The sequence below is a fragment of the Homo sapiens genome, chromosome 7 (assembly GCF_000001405.40).
Source record: "Homo sapiens chromosome 7, GRCh38.p14 Primary Assembly".
NCBI classification, from domain to species: Eukaryota; Metazoa; Chordata; class Mammalia; order Primates; family Hominidae; genus Homo; species Homo sapiens.
In genome coordinates this window covers 117,142,353-117,157,021 of record NC_000007.14, presented here as the reverse complement: position 1 = coordinate 117,157,021, position 14,669 = coordinate 117,142,353, and the positions used below count along the sequence as shown (strand labels likewise).

The window sequence follows — 14,669 nt, the reverse complement described above, 5'->3', positions numbered from 1 at the left end:
ATGTGAACATCCCATCTGGTAACCTAGACTCTTAGTGTTTTACCTTCTCAAAATAAGAAGACTCCATAGTCAAATTCCAGACCTTGACGTTATCTAGATATGTTCCTTTAAAATTCAACTGTGCAATGCTCTGACCATAACATACTGCTCTCCGGTTATCTCACACCATTACTCCCACTAAACTTCCTCTGTAATTTCACTGAGACCACCAGTGCCTTGTCCTCTCTACTTTTTTGTTCTTATCTTTCTTGGGCCACTCTCATTTCTGTAAAAATTCTTTTTTCTTTAAGCCCCCATGTTAACACACTTTCCTGGTTTTACTCTTGCCTTTCCAGCTGCTCCTGCTCAGAAGCCACTGGATGCTTCTCCTCTGTCAATGTTGGAGACCACTGGGACTCACTTCTTAATCTTCCCTCTTCTCTATCTCTCCACATACATGATCCTATTCAACATCATGGCTTTAAATCCTGTATATGTTGATAACTCCCAAACTCCTCACCTCTGAGTTCCAGGCCTCCATCCAATTTCCTTCCTGCAATACCTACCTGGAGCTATAATAGGTATCTGAAACTCTACATGACACAAGCACAATGCCCACTGTACCATTTAAAACCCGTCCCTCTCCTAGTCATCCTTCTTTCAGTAAATGGTATGACCACCACCAAGTTGATTAGGCTAAAAAGCTGTGCACTTTTAACTTTCCTTGATTATACCATTTCTTTTTTTCCACAGCCAATCTATTCGATTCATTTTACAAATAGTTACTGAGTAGTTACTGTGTATCAGGCACTATTGTACTGGGATACAGTAATAGGCATAAAAAATTCTTGTCCTCATGAAAATAGCATTCTGGGGAAAGGAAAAATGGAAAATAAGCAAATAAATAAAATCCATAGACTGTCAGATCATGATAAATTTTGAGGAGAATAAGTAAAGCAGGGAAATGGGTTCGTGAATGTTGGTACAGCACAGGCAGATGTGATTTTTAAATATAGCAATCAGGGAAGGTAGGATTGCAAGGTGACACATAAACAGAAACTGGTAACAGAGCAAGTCATGAGAATGTCTGGAAGAGAAGCATGCTGGGGAAAGCTTCCAGCAGTGTAAAGTTTCTGAGGTGGGAATGAGTGGTGTATTCAACAAATGCAAGAAGGCCAGCATGGCTGGAGCATAGTGAACACAGCAGCTGGGCTGTGGACAGCCTTGTAGGCCACTTTTAGAGTTTAAACTCTGAGTGAGATGAGAGGTCCCTGGAGAGTTGGAAGTCAAATGTAACATTATCTTACATATGCTTTCAATGGCTTCATTCTCTGCTATGTGGAGATAGAATTAAGAGTAGAAGCAGAAAGACCAGTTAAAAGGGAAGGCTGTTAGTATACTCCAAGTGAGAGATGATGGTTTAAACCAAGGGGAGGCCTATGAACCAAGGGTAGGGCGTTGAGATACATATGTCCAAATATATCTCAAATCCAACCACTTCTTCACTGCCACTCCCAAATCCAAACCCTCTTCAGCTCTTGCTTGGTATACTATCACGACCTCTTGACTGGCCTCCTGCCTCCATTCCTGCTCTCCATTCTTGACAATGTAGCTTAGTAAGATCTCATCCCTCCTCTGTTGTATACATTTCAAAAGCTTCCCATTGTACTTACAATGAAATCTAAATGCCTTACACAACTACAAAGCCCTAAATGACATGGCTGCTCCCTGCCTTTTCAAATTCATCTCATTCTGACCTTCCCTTTAGTCACCTTAGCCTCCTTTCCATTCTTGCTAAACTCTTCCCAGCTTCAGGACCTGTGCATTAGTTCTTCCTCTGACCAGATCTTCATGTGGCTGGCTCCCTCTCACCCTTTAGATCTCAGCAAAAATATGACCTCTTAGAGAGGCCCTTCCTGAGCACTTATCTAAATTAGGCCCTCCTGTTACCTACCATGACAGCCTGTTTAGTTTCTTTATAGCACCTATCATTATCTTTAACTGCCTTTATCATTCATGTCTCCCCTCCCCATGCTGGTAGGGATGTTGTCTGTCCTGGTGTGAGGCATTCTATAGATGCTTGCTTTTAAAAAAGAATGAATCCATCATCCCTTCTTACACTCCCTCCCCTTCCTCCCTTCTCCAACCTAGAGCCCACGGCCCATCACCTTTCCATTTCCTTGCCAATTCCTCAAGTTCCTGACTTCCTCACATCTTTTCATTCCACTCACATAGCAACACCCTCACCCTAGATCAACCCAGATGTCTATCATTTCTGCTCCAACATTCAGGCCAAAGGGCACAACTATGAGGTATAGAGGAACAACTAAAGTATATTGATCTCTGACCTCTATCAAGCCAAAACTACCCAGTAAACCTCCAGGATTTACCTCTCTGCTGACTTCTTTCCTGCAAATTCCACCACTCCCTTAATACTCTTAACTCACCTCCTTTCAGTTAACTCCCAGCAGATGACCCTGTCTTCTATCTAATCAAGTAAACAAAAGTCAGCAGGCAGGAACCCTGTCACTCTGCACCTCTACCATATCCCTCCTCTGCAGGCCCCACCTGCATCCAGATCCATCTTCCTAGCCCTGTCAGCCACACAGGGAATCCTCTTTGTCTTAGTCTGCTCAGTCTGCTATCACAGAATGTCACAGACTGTGCATCTTAAACAACAGAAATCTATTTCTCACAGTTCTGGAGGCTGGGAGGTCCAAGATCCAGGTCCTGGCAGATTTGGCTTCCGGTGAGGGCCCTCTTCCTGGTTTGCAGAGGAGCACCTTCTTGCTGTATCCTTACATGGCACAAACAGATCCTCTCCTGTCTTTTCTTATAAGGGCACTGGTCTTATCTGTAAGGGCTCTACCCTCATGACCTAATTAGCTCCCAAACGGCACCGTCTTTAGATGCCATCACAGTGGGGAGAGGAGCTTTGGCATATGAATTTGGGGAGAATACAAACATTCATTCCGTAGTACTCCTTTAGTTAATCCTCCCCTCCTATGCTCTGTAATTCATCACGCTGCACTCCTCAGGACTTCATTCTATCAGTGATCCCCTCTCTTTCATATGCATGTTTAATTTCTCCCTTGCTTTTCAGTATTTTCCCATCCACACTGGCACATGCTCAGGTCTTCTACTGCTTACAGGTTCCCTTCTAGGTATCATCACCTCTCTTTTCCTTTTCCATCTAAGCTTATTGCAAGAGTTCTACTACTCCAGTAGACATCTTACCTCACATTCGGGAGATAACACAATTGAATCTATTTTATACACTTTACATTCTACTGATCTTGCTTTTGCCAAATTGCCAACCACCTCTTTGAAGTAAAAGGTAACAAATAGTTTTCTCCACAACAAATATTTACTGAGTAATTGTGTGACAAGTACTGGACTAAGAATTGCTCAGATCATATATACATTTTTCTCTGTAGCATTTAATACTGTTGACCATTTCCTCCCTCTAAGATGTTCTGTTGCTATGGATTTCATGACACAACAGTGTCCTAAACTTTTTTCCTACTTCTCTGGCCACTTCTTTTAAGTATCCTTTGACTGATTGATCCTGCACTTCTCCCTCCTCTTCTTTTTTACTCTACTCACTTTTTCCTCCATAATCTCATCTTCACTCACTATCTAAATCACCTCCCATGCTGATCCTTCCCAGAACTTCCTCTAGCCCATATCTCTCTCATAAGCTCAGGGTCTGTATATCCCACTGTCTTCTAAATATTTCCATTTGGATGACCCATAGGTTTAGCAGATCTAAAGCTGAAATCATTCCTCCTGCCCACCCATCCATAAACCAGCTACTTAGACTACAATCTCAGTCCCCATGATGATGATGTTTTCTGCCCAGTTTCCCAGGCAAGAAATCCAGACGTTATCTATGACTTATCTTTCTTAGTCTCTTCCTCATACAACACCAACCACCCTGAAAATAAAAGCAAGCAAAAACTTACCTAGTCTCCAACTTCTCTCAACTCTACCTCTTAAATCTCACAAATTGAACCCACAATCCACTTGGGGTTATTCTACCGGGACCCACTAAATTAAACCCAGAACATTTGAACTGTGTCTCTCCATTACCGAAAAATAGAAGGCAAGGTTGAAACAGGAAACTATACAAGACAGGAGTGAGCATTTCCCTCTCTCTCTCTCTGAGACAGACATGTGTTGTACTCTGAAGCAGCAGCATAAAATGACCTTTGACTCTTCAGCAAAAGATCTAAAAAAATTATCTCCCTAAAATCAGTGATGTATGAGAACACCAGATGGAGTTATTTATTAATGCATAAACTCTGGATCCACTTGTGAAGGCTCTATACAGCCCATATCACAGCAGTAAAAGGACTCAGGCAAAAGACTTACAAATGTAGATGGAAGACTGAACAAACCTAGCTACTCCTCTCCCCTGCAACAAAACCTATTGAAATTATTAGAAAATGGTGTCGAAGGAGAGAAATCTATACCTGTAATGAAAACAGGAAAGCAGGTGGGAGGAATGGCTGGCAGAGTCAAGAGATTTTAACAATTTCCTCCAAGATAAACTGTTAAGTGGGACATGATTAAGCCACAGCAGAGGAAGCTATAGCTGTTCTGAGAAGAGCCTCACAGAGGTTCCAAATTTGGAGTTGGCAGAGACAGAAAGCAGGAGTGGGTTGTGGGACAGTAGCCTTATGTAATTAAACACTTGACTTCAGAGCAGCTGGGCTGAGCAACACTTCTCATTGCCCCAAGTTTAATGGAAATAAAATGACTGCCTGCTCTATAATCAGAGAGGTGTTCACTAAAGAAACTAAAGATTTGTTCATGGTATATATATATATATATATATATATATATATATATATATATATATAGTTTTTATATATATAATACATATATTTTATATATATATAAATTATTATTATTTTTTTTTGAGATGGTGTCTCACTCTGTCACCCAGGCTGGAGTGCAATGGCATGATCTCGGCTCACTGCAACCTCTGCCTCCCCGGTTCAAGCGATTCTCCTGCCTCAGCCTCCCAAGTAGCTGGAACTACAGGCATGTGCCACCACACCGGCTAATTTTTGTATTTTTAGTAGAGACAGGGTTTCCCCATGTTGGCCAGACTGGTCTCAAATGCCTGACCTCAAGTGATCCACCTGCCTCAGCCTCCCTAAGTGCTGAGATTATAGGCGTGAGCCACCATGCCCAGCCTGAGGTCATAAATTCTTAGTCAAGTCCTCTTATCTTGAGTTTTACGAGGATTTGGGGTGGAAAGTGTACCCCTCTACTCCCCATACAGGCATTCAGCCATCCATCCATTCATTCCACAAAAATTAATTGAGTGCCTATCTATCAAGTGCCATGGAAGATGAAGTTCCTGCCTTTGTAGAATTTATTTTGTAATGGAGGTGGGGAATACAGACAATAAATAAGTAAATAAACAAATAAGTAATTTCAAAAGTGAAGGGGCAATTAAAAAATAAGAAAAATAGATAAGAAAAAAATAGTGTGTGTGTGCACATGAGTGTTTGTGCATAGTGCTCCTTCAACTGGGTATCATGGAAGGTCCACTCTAAAGTGCTATTCCAGCTCAGCCTAAATGACAAGAAGGAGCCAACCAAGTGAGGATCTGGATCAGTCTATTCCTGTGCAAAGGTCCTAAGAAAGGATCAAGCAAGCTTGGCACACTCAAAAAGAAATCCAGTGTGAGTCCAGCCTAGTGAGTTAGAAAAAGAGTAGCATAAGCTGAGTTCAGAAGAGTAGGCAGGGACAAGATCATGTGAGGCCTCGCAGACCACATACAGAGTTTGCATTCTATTCTAAAGGCAATGGTAAATCACTGAAGGCTTTTCAGCAGAAAAGTGACAAATGCTGATCTGAGTTTTAAAAAAGTAGTTTGAGTTACTTTCATCAGAATGGACTCTATACAGGCGACAGTGGAAGTCTGGAGACCGACTGCATAGCTGAGATGAAAGACAGTGGTAACCTGAATGAGGATTTCAGCAGTGCTGTTGGAAGAAGTGACTAGACTGTGTACATGCTTTGGCAGTAAAGCCAATGAGGACTTGCACATATTAATTGAATGTGAAAGGTGAGGCAAAGAGAGGAATCAAGGATAACTCCTAGGTTTTTCACGTGAGCAACTAAGTAGATGTAATGTGACTTACCAAGATAGCCAAGATAGTGAAGAAACAGATTTGGCATAAATGATTGGAAAGTTCAATTTTTTTGACATATTGAGTTTGAGGTACTTATTAGATACCTAAGTAATGATGTCAGGTAGGCAAATGAATATAAATCTGGAGTTCAACAGAGAAGAGGGAAATACAACTATAGGAGTCATTACCTTACAGCCTGTATTTAGAATTGATGGCCAAGTGAGACGGCTGGAAAGGGAGTGTCACAGGGAAGAATGGAGGCCCAGGCAGAGGCTGCAGCCCTCCAGCACTGAGAAGCTGCAGGCAGGAAGAGCCAGGGAAAAGATGGAGAAGGAGCAGATGGAGAGGCAGAAGAGAAATTACACAAGTGAGAGACCCAGACAGCAGGAAAGAGTGTTCCAGGAGGGAAGTAACTGAAAAGAGGTTACAACTGAAATGCCAAACTGGCCACCTGAAGAGCTTAAAAAAGCTAAAACCAGAAACAGAAGAGTCAAGAGAAGATGGAACACTATGAAGAATTTTTAGGCAATGTAAAGCTTATGGAATATGGGTAACTGCATGAAAAGAGTGGACAACATTACCTCCTAAAATACTTTCAGGGAGAGATTCAAACAAAAAGGAAACAGAATCCCTGAGGACCTCAGCACTTGAAGGCATGAGGCACAGAAGAAGCCAGAGAACAAGACTGGGTTTAAGTCTATACCCATAGTGACTAGACACTCCAGTTTCTCCTTCCCACCTCAGACAACCACGAAACCAGGGATATCAGGCAGAGTGAGGGACTGAGCGAGGCCTGGTGCTAACAACAGAATAATTAAGGTGACAGTCTGGATAATGAACGACACAGCTCTGTCTCCCAACCTGATCCCAGAAACACTGGCAGTCAGGTGTATAGTCCACAAGGAAAAGACCTGACGATCTTTCCATGGAGGAAATGAACCACCACAGAAAAAAAGATCCAGGTACTGACATTTGAGGGCAGTGTGTGATTAAATGATAAGCCAGTTGCCCGGGCAACCACAAGTAAACCCTATCAGGCAATCATCCCTAGATAGAAACATACAGCCTCCAAAAGCTTTTTGGTGCTTGGTTTTAAATGTTAACATTTAGCCAAGGATAACTAGACTTCTGAAGTAAGTTCCTCCAATTAAAAAAAGAAAAAGGAGGAAAGACACAGTAAAAGAAGCAGAACCAAGTTTTAAGAAAAACAAAAAAACCACAGCTATCCATCCAAATTAGAATAAAATGTCAATGGGCTCAAAAAACAATGCCTTCAAAAAAAAAAAAAAAAAAAAAAAGGTAGGACACGGACAGTCAAGGTGATAAAATGAAATACTTGCATATAGCAAAAATTGGAGGGTGAGAATACCTCTACACACCTAAATGCCAGAGGAGCCCATCAGAGTAGGAGCAGAGAGCATCTCTCCAATGAAAACTTGAGAAGGGCCCCTCCTGACCCTCCATGGAACAATAAGAAATCATGAATCAAGAGTGGAAAATGGGACAGTGATACATTAAGCTGTAAGGACAGCCCACCTGATTTAAAGAAATGGGTGTTTAGGGGTAGGAAGGTCGGTGGTAACTATCTTTACTCTGTTTAGGCAGTAATGATTTTACTGGTGAAAGAGTAAAGATGTCCTACTAGAGCCTAAGCTTGTATTTAAATGGCTCAGTGGGAGGTCCCAGAAAGCAGGTTTGTGTACCTGAGGATTCTTGAGTCACAAAGGTAACTTCCCCAGGCCCAAGGAGAGGGCAAAGGCTAACCAGGGTATCTGCTCTTAACAAGCAGTAGAGATAGCGGTCCAGGAAGAAGGATATGATCAACGCTTTTGCATTGATTATTTAAAAGGGAAACCCAGGAGACCCAATTCATTGTCCTCCCTGGTCATCGCATGCATTGCTGGCTTTGCCTGTTTTCTGGTTTCTGTTCCTGGTGGCCCAGGTCTGAAATAAGTCTGTTTCCAGTGATCACCTCTCTGCTTACCCTAGAAATCAACAACTTCACTGGCTTCTGCTCACAGAAGCAACCCTGCCAGCCCAGCAGAAACTCAGACATCAGTGCTCCCCACACATCTCACAGAAGGAAAAGCTGTTCACAAATGTCCATGGTTGCCTCCTGATTTAGGGTGGGAAGCAGGGCACCATATGCTAAATTAATTCTATCATTTGGGAATAATTTATAGATATTGACATAGTGATAGGCTTAGTAACTGATCAAGAACCATAAATATAAGTATGGATCTTAGTGAGTTGGGAATATCAGAAGAATAAAACAGAAATTTAAAATGTTGAATCAGTGGAAGATATTTTCAATGGGAGAGAAAGTACGACATAGAAAACATGAAAGACAGCACACACGCTCAAAAAAAGCAGTAATTATTCTGTTACTCTCTATAAACACGAATGGGATAAACATAGCAATCAAAAGTATAAAACCCTCAGATTTGAATAAAGACAATATTCATCAAAAATTTTACAGATCCAAATGATCCATCAAAAACTTATAGGAAGCTTGATTATAAAATTTAGACAACAATAAACCAGTTAAATATGAATCACAATAAGTTAGAGTAGGTATTCTTAACATATGTTAAAAAATTCAAGGAAGATAAATATAAGAGACATTATATACTCATAATAACATATCAGTAAGTCATAATAATCACCAACATAAACGCACCCAACAACAAAACCTCAAAATATATAAAGGAACAAATAACTGAGCATGCAAAAAACAGATTAATAAACAGTTGGAGGTGAATATTCTATCACATTCTTCTTAGAAACTGATAGAGCAAAGAGACAAAATAAGCTGATATATGAGATTTGAATAATATGGTTTATAAGCTCAAACTAGTAAATACATACAAATCTTTATACCCAACAGGGATTATATTCCCTTCAAACACAGATATAACATTTATTAAACCTGACCATATGCTAGGCCTCAGGGGAAGTGACCATAAATTCTCCCCAAATCAATATCATATGATGTATGCTTTCTAAGCATAATGTAAAGAAAAAAATCAATCAATGACGAGGGGTAAAACATACTATACAGGGTAAAATGAAATTTAAAAGAAATTTAAAAATGCTTAGGATCAAATGGTAAAAAGGCAACAAACACAGAGGATAGAGGGGGAGAAGGATGAGGAGGAGAAGAAACAATAATACAAATATGGAAAGAAAAAACAGAATAAAAACAAAAAAGTTGAGGAAATAAACTAAACCTAATTGTTTTTAAAAGACTGGCAAAATAGACAACCTCTGCCAAGACTAATCAGGCAAAATAAGAGTAAAAACTAGCCAAATAAAATACAAAATGAAAAGGAAGAAAAAAACTACATAGTATTTTTAAATTATGAAATAACATCATGAAAAGCTATATGTAATAAATTTTTAAAATATATAAATATGTATATTAAATATAGACGTGCTTGAAGCAGAGCCTAGTACTGAGATACATGGGCATAGTCAGGTATTGCTCGTAAGAATTTAATCATAGGCAGCCATTCTGAAGAGTGAAATTGCAGGACTCACTGGAATCTAGCACGTATATAATCCCACAGCCTAATGAATGTTTCTCACATGTCTACAAGGATGTTCATTGCAGCACTGCTGGGATAACAGGAAGTTGGAAGAAACCTGGAGTTCCTTCACTAGAGGAAAGGTTAAGTAAAATAGAGTAAGAACACAACATGGAATATGATGCAGCAGTTAGAAACTGCAAACTAGATGCAAGAGGTACATAGAGCAAAAATGGACAGATTGAAAAACAGTGTTGAGTAAAACAGGGAAGAAGCAGAGATCTATAGACATATAAATTAAACACACAAGACACTACATTCTGTATTCTGCAAAGACTGTTATAGTCACAGTTTCTCTGAAATCAATTAGATTTTATCTTCCTGAAGTTCCTCACCAACTATATTTTAAGAGGGATCTAATCAAATCCCCCAAAATGTCCCAACAAAGTATACATTTGTCATAGTCCACAAAAAGATCAAGAAGTCACTACTTAAGATAACAATGAATAGGTGCTCTCTCAAATGTAACATGTTCAAAACTGAACTCGTAATTTTCTCTCAAAAAACCTCTCTCACCCCAGACTTCCACATCTTAGCTGACACAAACTCCTTCCCTTTCAAGGCAAATATTTAGAATCAGCCCTGACTTCTCTTTTTTCTTGTACTGCATATCTGATTAATTAGCAAATTCTGCTAGTCCTGCCTTCAAAATATATCTAGAATCTGATCACTTCACACCACCTTCTCTGCTACCACTCTGGCCTGAGCTGCCATTGTGGCTTGCCAAGATTAATACAAGAGCCTGCTGACCGACTCCTCCGCTTCTCTGCTGCTACACAGCAGCCTGTAAAAATTAAGACTGGTCATGTCACTCCTCTGTTCAAAACCTTGCAAAGCTCTCCATTTCACCCAGAGTAAAAGCTGAAATCCTTACTGTGATCAATAAGCCCTGTATGATCTTTAAGCTCCCTCCCTTCTCTCCCCTGGGCTTATTCTGTTCTATCCACCCAAGATTCCTTTGCTGTTGCTTGAACACTCCAGACATACTGCTGCCTCAGGGCCTTTGAAAATACATCACATGACTAACTTTGGCATCTCCTTCAGTCTTCAGTCACATATGCCTTTACAGTGCGATGGCACTGTAGAAGTGTAGGTGATATCACAACTTCCTCAATTCTTTGACTTGTCACAATGAGCATAAATTACTTTTGTAATTTTATAGGACACTCATGGTATGTGTGAGTTAAATGACACAGTATTTGTAAATTTCTTAGCAGAATGTATGGCACATGTAATACTCACTCTGTAGGTTATTGATAAAAACTAAAAACCCTGTAGTTCTCAGCTGGGAATCCTGTAGATGATGATGAAAATGCAGAAAGGACACAAGGAGCTCCCTCTGACTATTTTTTTAAAGGAGCCAAATGTAAGAACACAGAGGGTTAGTTAGCAGCTATCATCTTTACAGGCTAGGCTGAGAGTGGGTTTAACATGGTCAAAGGCATACAAAACATGTTTTTAGCTGACCTGATATAGCAGTGAAGTTTTAGAAGAATGTAAATTTATACAGGGTATCTGTATTTTGCTTTTATATATGACCTGCTATTGTGGGTTAAATTATGTCCCCCAGAAAGACATGTTGAGATCCTAACCCTCAGTACCTATGAATGTGACCCTATCAGAAATAGTGTTTCTGCAGAAACAATCAACTTAAGATGAGGTCATAAATACAATATGACTTATATCCTTATGACAGGAGGGAAATCTATACACAGAAACACACACACACAGGGAGAAAGCCATGTGAAGACAGGCAGAGACTGGGGTAATGCAGCTACAAGGGAATGTCAGAGATTGCTAGCAAACACCAGAAGCTGGAAGAGGCAATTAAGGATTGCTCCCTAGAGCTTTTAGAGGGAGGACGGCTCTGCCACCTGCCTTGTTCTTGGACTCCTAGCCTCCAGAATTGTGAGAGAATAAATTTCTGTTGTTTAAACTATCTAGTTTGGGGCATTTTGTTATCACAGTTCCAGGAAACTAATATGCCTGGGAATAAACTAGTCACAGGTCTGGTTTTACGCTAAAATTCTAGGTGGATGAAGTTTTTCTTCACCACATCCATATTTCCCTGTGTCTACCCCATTTTCTACTTTTTTTTTGAGATGGGGTCTCATTCTGTTGCCCAGGCTGGAATGCAGTAGCACAATCATGGCTCACTGCAGCCTTAACTTCAGGCCCAAGAGATCTTCCTGCTTCAGCCTCTCAAGCAGCTGGGACCACGGACCACAGGCGTGTGCTACCACACCTGGCTAATTTATGTATTTTTAGTAGAGATGGGGTTTTACCACGTTGCCCACGCTGGTCTCAAACTCCTGGGCTCAAGCAATCTGCCCCGCCTCGGCCTCCCAAAGTGCTGGGATTACAGGCGTGAGCCACCATACCTGGCCATTTTCTACCTTTTTTGCATCCACTACTTTGTTCTTTTGAAAGTGGTCTCAATCTTTATTTTTAAATTTTACTTTTATCATCATAAGAAAATACAAGTAGCACATATAATACTCAACATTACCTAAATACAAAAAATAGACAGCTATAATTTTAATGCTAAAGACTTTCTCTATAATCAAGGTTTTTCCTTATGCTTATACAAGTGACTCTCAAGGCATGGTCAGGGAACCCCTGGAGGTATGGTTAGGGAACCCCCAGAATTTTGGTTTTTTTTTTTTTTTTGGAGACAGGGTCTTACTCTGTTGCCTAGGCTGGAGTGCAGTGGCCTGATTACAGCTCACTGCAGCCTTGACCTACCAGGCTCAGGTGATCCTCCCACCTCAGCCTCCTGGGTAGCTGGGGATTACAAGCATGTACCACCATGCCCAACTAATTTTTTTTTTTTTTTTTGGTAGAGATGGGGTTTCATCATGCTGCCCAGGCTAGTGTCCAACTGCTGAGCTCAAGCAATTTGCCTGCCTTGGCCTCCCAAAGTGCTGGGATTACAAGTGTGAGCCACTGAGGAGTGTCTGACATCTTTTCGGGGAGTCCTTAGATCAAAACTATTTTCATAATAATAAAATTTTTCTTTGCCTTTTTCACTCTCCCTCTCCCACTCCAAGAGGTCACCTGTTGGGCAATATCACCATAGACTGAATACAGAAGCAGATATTAGCCTCCAGCCTCCTGCTCATCTGGACACTAGAGAGGTTTGTAAAAGTATAACAGCAATGTCACTCTTCTTATTTTTTTGTTTGAACAATATAGTTAGTTTTCACAAAAATGTTATTTGTATTAACATATAATGTATTTGTAACCATTATTTTAACATCTTTTCAAATTTCTCAGTTTTAATTTTCTAAAATGGTAAATATCAACAGGTAAACGCACACGAAGGTTTGGGGATCCTCAATTATTTTAAAGGTGTTCTGAGACCAAGAAGTTTGAGAACTATTAGTCTATATTAGCATATATTTTTAATTGAAAAAATGGAATCAAATTATACCTATGTTTATACTTTTCCTCTTCACTTAACAATATCTCTTGGACAATAACAGTAAGAACAGCAACAATGAGTCGTTATTACTCATGAAGTCTGGTCCCAAGTACTTTGCTTGAATTATCCCGTTTAATCCTGACATCTACCCTGTGAGGTGAGTACTAAACTAGCACCCTGGGCACTTCTGATACAGGTGGTTGTAGACCACACTCTCAGAAATACTACCTTGTTACATGACCTTTAACAAGCACCAATGTCAAGGGTTGTTAGGAAAATTAAATGAGGTTATATTTGTAAAGCACCTAGAACAATGCCTAGGACACAGTAAACACTACAGAAACGTTTGTCATTGAGATGATATTTAAAACTCTGAGATTGAATGTAGCCACCCAGGACTGGCCAGGGGACACTTCAAATTTTGGAAGTCACAAAGATGAGGAAAATCCCGCAAAGAGATTATGAGATTTTAGGGAAACTAAGAGTATAGTTTTCTAAAATCAAGTAAATAAAATGTTTCAAGAACAGCATGATGATCTGTGAGAAATGAGAGGCCAGGATACAGGAAGAGGTAGTGTTGCAAACAGAGTGAAACAAGAGTGAGGGAGAATGGCTCAGAGGTCAACAGGAAACTGCAAAAAGACCGGGGAAAGGTGATAACGCCAGAGTCTACTTTCAAAGGAACTGTAGATTTTAGGGAAATGAAGCAAACAATGATCTCGAAGCATGCATGAGGGGCAAGGGAGACCACCAACCCACATCACATTCTCCTCTTTGTCAGCCCTCCCACCAGGACCCCACCAGGTTCATTTACTCTTCCTGCCCTGGGATGGATCTTCAGGGAATCTCATTTGGGCAAAACAGCCCCCAAAACCAGGCTGGTCAAATCTGGGGGTGCTTCAGAGGCTTACACCCACACTAAGGGAAGCCCAGACTCCTAACACACAGAGTGGATAAAACCCGATGTCTGGGCCAGGCACAGTGGCTCATGCCTGTAATCCCAGCACTTTGGGAGGCCGAGGCAGGTGGATCATGAGATCAAGAGATCAAGACCATCCTGGCCAACACGGTGAAACCCCATCTTTACTAAAAATACAAAAATCAGCTGGGTGTGGTGGCATGCGCCTGTAGTCCCAGGTACTCGGGAGGCTGAGGCAGGAGAATCGCTTGAACCCAGGAGGTGGAGGTTGCAGTGAGCCAAGATCATGCCACTGTATTCCAGCCTGGAGACAGAAAGAGACCCCATCTCAAAAACAAAACAAAACAAAAAAAACACCCAATGTCAGCCCTGAAACAGATCTACTCACCTCAAGATTCTCTAGATCAGTGGTTCTTAATGCGGGATGATTTTGCCCCCCAGGGGACATTTAGCAACTTCTGGAGACATCTTTTTTTTTTCACAACTGGGGAGGTACAGGGGTTAAGCTGCAATTGGCATCTAGTAGGTGGAAGCTTAGGATGCTGCTAAACATCCTACAATGCACAAGGCAGCTCCCCAATCTGACCCAAGATGTCAACAGTGCTGAG

At 40.8% G+C, this 14,669-nt stretch overlaps 1 protein-coding gene and 1 long non-coding RNA gene across 19 annotated transcripts in view, besides 1 other annotated feature; one reads left to right on the top strand and one right to left on the bottom strand.

Annotated features, from left to right (window-relative positions):
• ST7 (suppression of tumorigenicity 7) overlaps positions 1–14,669 on the bottom strand; it is a 276,676-nt gene that overhangs the window by 73,155 nt on the left and 188,852 nt on the right. The gene's annotated exons all lie outside the window — the stretch shown is intronic.
• Positions 1,427–2,220: an enhancer, noted in NCBI's record as "OCT4-NANOG hESC enhancer chr7:116794856-116795649 (GRCh37/hg19 assembly coordinates)". NCBI's record gives its function as "activates a minimal SCP1, AML or CMV promoter by ChIP-STARR-seq in naive and primed H9 embryonic stem cells {active_cell/tissue: H9 hESC(naive and primed)}" and the evidence as "EXISTENCE:reporter gene assay evidence [ECO:0000049][PMID:30033119]".
• The window catches only part of ST7-AS2 (ST7 antisense RNA 2), a 73,521-nt gene continuing 70,281 nt past the window's right edge, over positions 11,430–14,669 (top strand). For both annotated transcript variants that reach the window (NR_109981.1, NR_002331.3), the window contains exons 1-2: positions 11,430–11,626; positions 12,769–12,855. This is a non-coding gene — a long non-coding RNA (ST7 antisense RNA 2). The remainder of the gene's footprint in view (positions 11,627–12,768; positions 12,856–14,669) is intronic.